This window comes from Homo sapiens, chromosome 12 (assembly GCF_000001405.40).
Source record: "Homo sapiens chromosome 12, GRCh38.p14 Primary Assembly".
Classification (NCBI taxonomy): Eukaryota; Metazoa; Chordata; class Mammalia; order Primates; family Hominidae; genus Homo; species Homo sapiens.
In genome coordinates this window covers 48,565,682-48,577,499 of record NC_000012.12, presented here as the reverse complement: position 1 = coordinate 48,577,499, position 11,818 = coordinate 48,565,682, and the positions used below count along the sequence as shown (strand labels likewise).

Genomic DNA, 11,818 nt, shown 5'->3' with positions numbered 1-11,818 from the left:
TGCAGAAGCTCTTTAGTTGAATTAGATCCCATTTGTCAATTTTGGCTTTTGTTGCCACTGCTTTTGGTGTTTTAGACATGAAGTCCTTGCCCATGCCTATGTCCTGAATGGTAATGCCTAGGTTTTCTTCTAGGGTTTTTATGGTTTCAGGTCTAATGTTTAAGTCTTTAATCCATCTTGAATTAATTTTTGTATAAGGTGTAAGGAAGGGATCCAGTTTCAGCCTTCTACATATGGGTAGCCAGTTTTCCCAGCACCATTTATTAAATAGGGAATCTTTTCCCCATTGCTTGTTTTTCTCAGGTTTGTCAAAGATCAGATAGTTGTAGATATGTGGCATTATTTCTGAGGGCTCTGTTCTGTTCCATTGATCTATATCTCTGTTTTGGTACCAGTACCATGCTGTTTTGGTGACTGTAGCCTTGTAGTATAGTTTGAAGTCAGGTAGCATGATGCCTCCAGCTTTGTTCTTTTGGCTTAGGATTGACTTGGCGATGCGGGCTCTTTTTTTGGTTCCATATGAACTTTAAAGTAGTTTTTTCCAATTCTGTGAAGAAAGTCATTGGTAGCTTGATGGGGATGGCATTGAATCTATAAATTACCTTGGGCAGTATGGCCATTTTCACGATATTGATTCTTCCTACCCATGAGCATGGAATGTTCTTCCATTTGTTTGTATCCTCTTTTATTTCATTGAGCAGTGGTTTGTAGTTCTCCTTGAAGAGGTCCTTCACGTCCCTTATAAGTTGGATTCCTAGGTATTTTATTCTTTTTGAAGCAATTGTGAATGGGAGTTCACTCATGATTTGGCTCTCTGTTTGTCTGTTATTGGTGTATAAGAATGCTTGTGATTTTTGTACATTGATTTTGTATCCTGAGACTTTGCTGAAGTTGCTTATCAGCTTAAGGAGATTTTGGGCTGAGACGATGGGGTTTTCTAGATATACATTCATGTCGTCTGCAAAGAGGGACAATTTGACTTCCTCTTTTCCTAATTGAATACCCTTTATTTCCTTCTCCTGCCTAATTGCCCTGGCTAGAACTTCCAACACTATGTTGAATAGGAGTGCTGAGAGAGGGCATCCCTGTCTTGTGCCAGTTTTCAAAGGGAATGCTTCCAGTTTTTGCCCATTCAGTATGATATTGGCTGTGGGTTTGTCATAGATAGCTCTTATTATTTTGAGATACGTCTCATCAATACCTAATTTATTGAGAGTTTTTAGCATGAAGGGTTGTTGAATTTTCTCAAAGGCCTTTTCTGCATCTATTGAAATAATCATGTGGTTTTTGTCTTTGGTTCTGTTTATATGCTGGATTACATTTATTGATTTGTGTATATTGAACCAGCCTTGCATCCCAGGGATGAAGCCCACTTGATCATGGTGGATAAGCTTTTTGATGTGCTGCTGGATTCGGTTTGCCAGTATTTTACTGAGGATTTTTGCATCAATGTTCATCAAGGATATTGGTCTAAAATTGTCTTTTTTGGTTGTGTCTCTGCCAGGCTTTGGTATCAGGATGATGCTGGCCTCATAAAATGAGTTAGGGAGGATTCCCTCTTTTTCTATTGATTGGAGTAGTTTCAGAAGGAATGGTACCAGTTCCTCCTTGTACCTCTGGTAGAATTTGGCTGTGAATCCATCTGGTCCTGGACTCTTTTTGGTTGGTAAGCTATTGATTATTGCCACAATTTCACAGACTGGCAAATTGGATAAAGAGTCAAGACCCGTCAGTGTGCTGTATTCAGGAAACCCATCTCATGTGCAGAGACACACATAGGCTCAAAATAAAAGGATGGAGGAAGATCTACCAAGCAAATGGAAAACAAAAAAAGGCAGGGGTTGCAATCCTAGTCTCTGATAAAACAGACTTTAAACCAACAAAGATCAAAAGAGACAAAGAAGGCCATTACATAATGGTAAAGGGATCAATTCAACAAGAGGAGCTAACTATCCTAAGTATATATGCACCCAATACAGGAGCACCCAAGTTCATAAAGCAAGTCCTGAGTGACCTACAAAGAGACTTAGACTCCCACACAATAATAATGGGAGACTTTAACACCCCACTGTCAACATTAGACAGATCAACGAGACAGAAAGTTAACAAGGATACCCAGGAATTGAACTCAGCTCTGCACCAAGCAGACCTAATAGACATCTACAGAACTCTCCACCCCAAATCAACACAATATACATTTTTTTTCAGCACCACACCACACCTATTCCAAAATTGACCACATAGTTGGAAGTAAAGCTCTCCTCAGCAAATGTAAAAGATCAGAAATTATAACAAACTGTCTCTCAGACCACGGTGCAATCAAACTACAACTCAGGATAAAGAAACTCACTCAAAACCGCTCAACTACATGGAAACTGAACAACCTGCTCCTGAATGACTACTGGGTACATAACGCAATGAAGGCAGACATAAAGATGTTCTTTGAAACCAACGAGAACAAAGACGCAACATACCAGAATCTCTGGGACACATTCAAAGCAGTGTGTAGAGGGAAATTTATAGCACTAAATGCCCACAAGAGAAAGCAGGAAAGATCCAAAATTGACACCCTAACATCACAATTAAAAGAACTAGAAAAGCAAGAGCAAACACATTCAAAAGCTAGCAGAAAGCAAGAAATAACTAAAATCAGAGCAGAACTGAAGGAAATAGAGACATAAAAAACCCTTCAAAAATTAATGAATCCAGGAGCTGGTTTTTTTGAAAGGATCAACAAAATTGATAGACCGCTAGCAAGGCTAATAAAGAAGAAAAGAGAGAAGAATCAAATAGATGCAATAAAAAATGATAAAGGGGATATCACCACCGATCCCATAGAGATGCAAACTACCATCAGAGAATACTATAAACATCTCTACGCAAATAAACTAGAAAATCTAGAAGAAATGGATAAATTCCTTGACATATACACCCTCCTAAGACTAAACCAGGAAGAAGTTGACTCTCTGAATAGACCAATAACAGGCTCTTTTTTGTTTTTTAAATTTTGGTGGGTACATCATAGCTGTGTATATTTATGGGGTACATAAAATGTTTTGATACAGGCATGCAATGTGAAATAAATACTTTATGGGGAATGCGGTGGTAGATTGTTAATATGAGTTGCCAGGATGATGTTTGGCAAGGAAGAAATGAGGAGGAAGAAAGGGAAGCCATTCCTAAAAGGAAAGGAAAAACTACCATGTTCACAAAAAATAGGATGTAAGATTCTATCAAAGGTGTTGATGTAAAATTATGTAAATATGTTTATTTAAAAATAAACATTTTATAAATTAAAAATGAAAAATCAATTAAAATTTGCATAGAAATTTTTTTAGCTTCTTGGTAATTACATGTGTATCGGTTTGTTTTAGCTAATATTCAGTTAAAAAGGTAAAATTTATTTTAGTATCTTTTAAAATCATTTTTGTGTTATAATTTATATTTCCATGCTTGCATTTTTTGGTTGATACTATCCCCAATTCACACAAATGAATCAATGGTTCATTTAAGTATAAAAGCAGTGATATAAATAGTAATGCAAATATAGCAATCCAAAATAAGCCCATATAAATTGCAAGCAGGCCTTTGGTGTGGGATATAGAATGTGAATCTATAATGCTGAGTAACTTTGTAAGGACTTTTGGACAAGCAGCTGAAAAAGAAAAATGCCAATAAAAAATCACTCCCTTTCTAAATCTTAATTACTTTAATTAACTCTTTAATTTGGTTAAACATTTTCATGAAATTTGGGTTTCAAGATCTAGCATCATTGTCTACCTAGTGATAATTTTCCTGAATTATGAGAGAAAGTAGAACAAGATGAGGATATAAGTGTATTTTAAAATAGAGACAGGGTCTTGCTCTATTGCCCAGGCTAGAGTGAGTGGCACAATCAAAGCCCACTGCATTCTTGAACTCCTGGGCTCAAGCAATCCTCGTACCTCAGTAGCTAGGACTATAGGCACGTGCCACTATGCCTGGCTAATTTTTATTTTTTTTTGTAGTGACAGAGTCTTGCTATGTTGCCCAGGCTGGTCTCCAACTCCTGGCCTCAAGTGATCCTCCTGCCTCAGCCTCCCAAAATGTTGGGAGTATAGGCATGAGCCACTGCAGGCACAAGGTAAGGATATTAACTGCAAGATGTAATGGCCATTATGACTGTGGCTCTCAGGGTGTTCCCTCTAAATGGCAGGCCTAGGCTCTGTCTAGAAACTCCAGCTCACCTACAGACTACAGTTTCAGATGGAAAACGTGCCTTGAAACACATGCTTTCAATTTCTTTATTTTCAGAAATAAAGATATTTTAATTTTATTTTTATTATTATTATTATTTTTTGAGATGGAGTCTTGCTCTGTTTCCCAGGCTGGAGTGCAGTGGCACAATCTTGGCTCACTGCAGCCTTCACCTCCTGGGTTCAAGCGATCCTCCTGCCTCAGCTGCCCGAGTAGCTGGGATTATAGACTCCTGCCAGCATGCTCAGCTAATTTTTGTATTTTTAGTAGAGACGGAATTTTGCCATGTTGGTCAGGCTGGTCTCGAACTCCTGACCTCAAATAATCTGCCTACCTTGGCTTCTCAAAGTGCTGGGATTACAGGCATGACCCACCATGCCCGGCCTGAACTTTTTATTTTATAAATAAAGAAATTTACTTTTAGAAATAAAATTTTTATTTTGTTCATCTTCAAAAAGGTGATTTCTGGTTTTAGAAACCTGGATATTTCCCCACAGCATCTGAGAGAATGAACATAATTTTCTAGTCTATTTCTAACAAAATCTAGGTAAGTGTATTGTAAATGCCTCTTCACCATCTTGATTCAGCTCTCGACCTCCATGCAGAGCACCCTGAGTAAACCTCTCTGGAAAGGGAGATTTTGGAGGAGGTTTCTTCCTGGACAGGAATTGTTGAGCAGGAGCTTTCTTCCACGAGCTGTGCTTAATGTCTTTCCACATACTTCCTCTTTCAGTGCTGCGATCATTGTGTATTGTTCTCCTTTGGACAATCTCCAAGAGGCTGCATCTTTCTCTGGATGTTTGCAGTTGTTCCCATTAGACACTTTCTATCTTCTTTTTCAGATGACCCCCACGTATCCTATTTTAAGAACATTTATAGGGAAATAATGGTTCCTTTTGCCGGAGACATGTTTATTTTCTTTTCTGCACTTAGTTGTGATTCCTGACCTGTATGCTTATTTTTATTGCTTATAGGGAAGGGCCAAGGTATAATCAAATGATAGGCAAGCAGGCAGCTGCCTTAGGTCTTGACTTGGCTGAAAGTGTAGAAAACCCCTGTGATTCTTGAGACCCTGGCCCACCCTTTTACTCTATCACAGGTACTTAGTCAATAGCCTAGGGCAGGAGGCATTTTACACAAGACTCCACTATTGGAAGGACTAGTCCTCAGGACTAGCTTTTCTTATCTTTCCCTCTCACACATGGTTCAAGGTCACTCTCAGCCATATTCTCAACAAAGCTTAGAGTGATAGAATTCCCATTCCTGTCGTGTACCCTTGCAGTGCCTCTGGGTGGAATGCGGAGAAATGGAGTGGCTCCACTTCTGTTGTGTTTCTGAACATGTATCTCTTGCTATCAGAACTTTCTGCTCATCCCTTCTGGCACACCAAGATCCTCCACATTCCCTTCACTCATGCCACTTCATATACTGGTTATCCATGGTACAGAAGACAGGATTTAACTGAGAGGACTTTTCCCTGACTCTGAATACATGTAGGAGATAACGATATGGAAGACCTTCAGTATGTAAGTCTTAAATAGATTGGTTGGGATAAATGTTCCCTGAAACATAAGAAACAGCGCAGCGGCTCCTGTCTGTAATCCTAGCACTTTGGGAGGCCGAGGCCCAGGCAGGCAAATTGCCTGAGCTCAGAAGTTTGAGACCAGCCTGGCCAACATGCAGAAACTCCGTCTCTACTAAAAATACATAAATTAACCGGGCATGGTAACACGTGCCTGTAGTCCCAGCTACTCGGGAGGCTGAGGCAGGAGAATCACTTGAGCCTGGGAGGCAGAGGTTGCAGTGAGCCAAGATCGCGCCACTGCATTCCAGCCTGGGCAACAGAGTGAGACTTGGTCAAAAAAAAAAAAAAAAAAGGAAGAAGAAGAAGAAATCAGGTTTAGAGATGAGGACAAAGAAGACGAATGGTGGCATGAAGGAGCTAAGAGCTACTTGTCACCATGACATGAAGCTTCATGCCAGCAAATTAAAGGAGCTATTCAGAACTAGTATCCTCAACTCTACTTGCTCAGGGGCACTGACCTTATAGAGATTCCAGACATAAGCTTGTTCAGCCTTAAAGTCCAATCTTTCCACTGGCTTGGGTCCTTCCCACTTTCTGTGGCCAACTCTGAGGTTGTCTACAAGTTATTGGTCTTAGATTTATGTAATGTCTCAATGCCAGTGTAGTATTTGGTTATTTACGGTAGGAGTGGTTAGGGGTGGGGAATCTGATAATAGCTCGTAGGATAGCTAGATTCTTTTTTTTTTTTTTTTTTTTTAAAGATAGGGTCTCACTTTGTCTCCCAGGATGGATGGAGTGCAGTGGAGTGAACATGGCTCACTGCAGCCTCGACCTCCTGTGCTCAAGTGTTCCTCCTGCCTCAGCCCCTCAAGTAGCTGGGACTACAGGCACATGTCACCATGCCCAGCTAATTTTTTTTGTAGAGATGGGATTTTACCATGTTGCCCAGGCTGGTCTCGAGCTCCTGGGCTCAAGTGATCCACCAGACTCGGCCTCCCAAAATGCCGGGATTACAGGTGTGAGCCACTGTGCCTGGCCTAGATGCTTTCATACAGGCTTTTCAATTATGCATTTTCCTTAAGTAGGAAGTCTTAAGATCCAAGTTATATCGGATTGTTGTAGTCTACGTTCCCATATTCTATTCCTATTTCTGAGCCTTCAGTCATGAGCTACCATATTAAAGAACTAATTCTGGGCCTTGTTACATGGCTGGATTGGTTGGACAAGTGCCAGCTCTGATCCTGGGACTGTGGCATGTGATGACATACACCCCCTCTCCACATTCTGCATGTCTCTAGGGGGGAAGGGGGAAGCTCGGTATAGAACTTTATTGTATTTTCTGATTGCCTCACTTCTTATATTGCCCCCATGCCCTTCTTTGTTCCTCAAGTAACCAGAGACAGTGCTTCCCAGAACCAACCCTACAAGAAACAAAGGGCTAAACAAAGCCAAATGGGAAGCAGGATCATGGTTTGAACTCTTTCTGGCCAGAGAACAATACCTGCTATGGACTAGATACTGGGAGAGGGAAAGGAAAAGTAGGGTGAATTATGGAAGGAAGCTGGCAGGCTCAGCGTTTCTGTCTTGGCATGACCAGTCTCTCTTCATTCTCTTCCTAGATGTAGGGCTTGGTACCAGAGCCCCTGAGGCTTTCTGCATGAATATAAATAAATGAAACTGAGTGATGCTTCCATTTCAGGTTCTTGGGGGTAGCCAAAATGAGGTTCTTTGTCCCTCTGTTCCTGGTGGGCATCCTGTTCCCTGCCATCCTGGCCAAGCAATTCACAAAATGTGAGCTGTCCCAGCTGCTGAAAGACATAGATGGTTATGGAGGCATCGCTTTGCCTGAATGTGAGTTCCCTGCCTCTGTGTTTCATCCATTCCTCATACGCTTCTCTCCTCCATCCCCTCTTTCTTCCACTTCGCCCCTCCACTTTTACTTAATTATCTAATCATCCTCTTTTCTGCTCATTTGCATACTCTTTTATTTCATGTATGTATATATGTATGTATTTATTTATTTTTGAGGTGGAGTTTCGCTCTTGTTGCCCAGACTGGAGTGCAATGGTGTAATCTCGGCTCACTGCAACCTCCGCCTCCTCGGTTCAAGTGATTCTCCTGCCTCAGCCTCCCAAGTAGCTGGAATTACAGGCACCCACCACCATGCCTGGCTAATTTTGTATTTTTTGTAGAGACAGGGTTTCACCATGTTGGCCAGGCTGGTCTCAAACTTCTGACCTCAGGTGATCCGCCCTCCTCAGCCTCCCAAAGTGTTGGGATTACAAGCGTGAGCCATCATGCCTGGCCCCATTTATTTTCCTATCCTTTCTTTCTCTTATTGTCTGATTTTTTTTTGGAATTCTCCATCTCATCAAGAAACTCTGAGCTTTGCCATCTTTGGAGATTGGCTGGAAAGCATTTTTGTCTGAGAATTACAGTTCCTCCTTTATGCAGATCCTGTACATCTCTGTGGTATCTCTTTCTCATCTTTCCCTCAGTGATCTGTACCATGTTTCACACCAGTGGTTATGACACACAAGCCATAGTTGAAAACAATGAAAGCACGGAATATGGACTCTTCCAGATCAGTAATAAGCTTTGGTGCAAGAGCAGCCAGGTCCCTCAGTCAAGGAACATCTGTGACATCTCCTGTGACAGTGAGTAGCCCCTATAACCCTCTTTCTCTGTTTTTCTGAGGCCTGCCCTTGGGATAATCTCCTTTTTAGTGCCAAGCAGACCTCAGGCTTCATTGCCTTGGCTGGGCTCTATAAAAATTGTGGGACTTGAATTGGCAGTACTGAGTAAGAAGCTGTTTGGATTTTTCATGGTCATCAAATCCCCAGACAGTTCCTTGAGGTTCAGTGGTAGACAATCGGAGCTGTCTGAGAGTCTTGGAATCTGATTGTCTGCATTTTCAGGGTAAGTCAGTTGATGAAGCTGATGATTCCTCCAGAGATATCCCAGGGAAATGAAGGAAGTCCCTACCCAGGGTTAGACATTACCACATTGGTCCTTTCATATAGAAAGACAACAGGCACAAGCCTTGAGTTTAGAGAACCCACTGGATCCAGGGGTTAGGGGAACTCAGTGCCTTTCTGGGTAATACTTGTCAGCTGTCTCAATCCTTTCCCTGTAACTCCTGCCAGAGTTCCTGGATGATGACATTACTGATGACATAATGTGTGCCAAGAAGATCCTGGATATTAAAGGAATTGACTACTGGTGAATCCTTATTCTATTTTCTATTTCCCCATCCTCCTTCTCCTTACCCCATTAGCCCAGCACCCCTTTCCTCTTACCCTATCTCTTGGTCATTTAATCTAGAATACAGTGTCTGAAACAAAGCTTACCTAGAGACTCAGGTTTCTGTTATTAAGCCTCTCTCGCTCCGCTCCTTGGTAGCAATTTTCCTAATAAGGGGTTGCCTAATGGAGGGCTCAGACCCAGGCCTCCTTTCACTTAGACTTGGACATCTAATTCCACTTGTTTAGTTCTATGCCCTAAAGCAAGCTGTTGGTAACATTGCATCTCTTTTTTAACCCTACAATTTTCTTGGATATTTTTTATGGACTGTATTCCACTTGATGGCTTGTGTCGCTTGACATCAGGCCAGGAATGTCTTTCTGTAATTCTCGTCCACGCTCTTCCACTTCAGCCCTCCTGGGAATGAATGTAAAGATTCAGTCAGCTAACTCACCTTGTCCCCCTTCTCCATTATCAGGTTGGCCCATAAAGCCCTCTGCACTGAGAAGCTGGAACAGTGGCTTTGTGAGAAGTTGTGAGTGTCTGCTGTCCTTGGCACCCCTGCCCACTCCACACTCCTGGAATACCTCTTCCCTAATGCCACCTCAGTTTGTTTCTTTCTGTTCCCCCAAAGCTTATCTGTCTCTGAGCCTTGGGCCCTGTAGTGACATCACCGAATTCTTGAAGACTATTTTCCAGGGATGCCTGAGTGGTGCACTGAGCTCTAGACCCTTACTCAGTGCCTTCGATGGCACTTTCACTACAGCACAGATTTCACCTCTGTCTTGAATAAAGGTCCCACTTTGAAGTCACTGGCTGTAATTTTTTTCCCCCTGGAGGGAAGGGGAAGAAATAGGATGAGTAGGTGGACACTGAAGCCATAGGTCATAGCCACCTTCCATCTCTACTGAAGAAGAAGTAGGCTGAATTTACAATAGAAAGGTGAAGGTTACTGTCTGTACCAACTCAATGCAACAAACTTTTATTGATCACCTAATCTATTCAAGGAACTGTAGACGGATCCAAAGTTGGCTAAACACTGGCCGGGTGCAGTGCTTCCACCTGTAATTCCAGCACTTTGGAAGGCTGAGGTGGGCAGATTGCTTGAGGTCAGGAGTTTGAGACCAGCTTGGCTAACAGCAAAACCCTGTCTCTACCAAAAGTACAAAAATTATCTGGGTGTGGTGGCAGGCGCCTGTAATCCCAGCTACTCGGGAGGCTGAGGCAGAAGAATTGTTTGAACCTGGGAGGCAGAGGTTGTAGTGAGCTGAGATCGCGTCATTGCGCTCTAGCCTGGGTGCTCCATCTCAAAAAACAAAAACAAAAACAAAAAACAAAAACACAAAGTTGGCTGAATAGCCTTTTCCCTCAAGGACTAATGGGAAAGACAAGATAAACATTAATAAATAGTTACAATATAAGGAAGAGAGTTATAAGCATCATGAGAGAGGTTAGAAATGTGCGCTGGGCATTCACAAAAGGAAAGATAACTTATCTTTGGAGGGGATGTTGGGAAAAAGGAATCAAGAAAGGGTTCCTGAAAGGGAGAGCATTTAGGCTGGTTTTAAAGTCTGTGTGGGATTTTGACAAGTGGAGATGTGGGGTGGGAAAAGGAAGAGCATGGACGGGAACCCAAGAATCTGAAATGGGTGACTTGTTGAAGGATTTCTTTATCCTTCATGAGGAGCTGTGAAGGGAACCCTTCCTGTCTCTGGAAACCAGAGAGAGAACAGGGACCTTGACAGTCAGCACAGTGGTGCTGAAGAATCTGAGAAAATGGGACCTTTTGGTTTGGACCCTCCACTCCATTATTTCTTCTTGTGCTGTGCTTGGTTTTTAAGGAGAATATTTGCAGAACTTCATTCATTTAAATAATTATGGGATATGTGAAAGAAGAAGAATCAGGAAATTTGGGTCCTAAAATCTGTTTCTGCTACTTATTGAGGGTCTGAACCTGGGCAGGTCATCTCCATTCTCTGTGCCTCAGTTTCCTCATCTTAGAATAAGGATTTTGGTCTAGATAGTTTTCTGAGATCACTTCCTGCTTTAACAATCCAGCATTCCAAACTACAGTTTAATTTGTCACACTCTGAATGAGCTGAGAATGACATTCGCATTGTTGCTCAGCTCCACAGCCCTGGCCTTCATCCCACAGAGAAGACAGGAAAGTTCACCTGTGTGGGCAAGTACACCGTATATGAGTTCATGATCTTCAGGAGCTGTTGCTGAAGGAATTGACAGTAAGAGATTTATCTGTAGAGAGAACCTCAGCCTGAGGTCAGAAGATCAAGAACAGATAGAAGCCAGGGAACTGGCAGGAAAGACATCTTTTTCTTTTTTTCAATTATTCATTTGTTACAGTGGGTTATGATACAAATGTTTATAGATGCCTACTCTGTACTAGTACTACAGAGCAGTTTTTCTGTGTTTATATTCAGTTCAATTGTAGTGTGTTGAGTTGTAAAATAATCCATGTATTAAATCAAATAAACAAACAAAATGCCATGTTCTTTGGTACAAGCAACACTACCAAAGGCATTTGGGGTCTGCATTTGGAATTCTCAGGCAAACTCTCTCTTGTTCCTAGTCTGTACTTATTTTCCCCACACTAGCTTATGTATATATATTTTTTGAGATGGAGTTTTGCCCTTGTTGCCCAGGCTGGAGTGCAGTGGCACGATCTTGGCTCACTGAGACCTCCACGTCTTGGGTTAAAGCGTTTCTCCTGCCTCAGCCTCCTGACTAGCTGGGATTACAGGCGCCTGCCACCATGCCCGGCTAATTTTTGTATTTTTAGTAGAGATGGGCTTTCAC

The 11,818-nt window shown here is 41.9% G+C and overlaps 1 protein-coding gene across 2 annotated transcripts; it reads left to right on the top strand.

Annotated features, from left to right (window-relative positions):
* The first annotated feature begins 5,654 nt into the window (after positions 1–5,654).
* On the top strand, positions 5,655–9,816 carry LALBA (lactalbumin alpha). Of its 2 annotated transcripts, NM_001384350.1 has the most exons (5): positions 5,655–5,762; positions 7,461–7,612; positions 8,260–8,418; positions 8,908–8,983; positions 9,483–9,816. In NM_001384350.1, exons 2-5 carry the CDS (start codon positions 7,480–7,482, stop codon positions 9,541–9,543), a joined length of 429 nt encoding a protein of 142 aa, NP_001371279.1. In that variant the 5' UTR covers positions 5,655–5,762; positions 7,461–7,479; the 3' UTR covers positions 9,544–9,816. The 2 variants fall into 2 exon arrangements, with proteins under 2 accessions (NP_001371279.1, NP_002280.1); NM_002289.3 differs by lacking the exon at positions 5,655–5,762 and having other exon boundaries at positions 7,454–7,612.
* The last annotated feature ends 2,002 nt before the right edge of the window (positions 9,817–11,818 follow it).

Bases quoted from the DNA above. Each gene is read 5' to 3' on its own strand.
- LALBA (NM_001384350.1), top strand. From the start codon at position 7,480: ATGAGGTTCTTTGTCCCTCTGTTCCTGGTGGGCATCCTGTTCCCTGCC. The intron at 7,613-8,259 runs GTGAGTTCCCTG...TCTTTCCCTCAG, and splicing joins AGGCATCGCTTTGCCTGAAT to TGATCTGTACCATGTTTCAC. The intron at 8,419-8,907 runs GTGAGTAGCCCC...AACTCCTGCCAG, and splicing joins CTGTGACATCTCCTGTGACA to AGTTCCTGGATGATGACATT.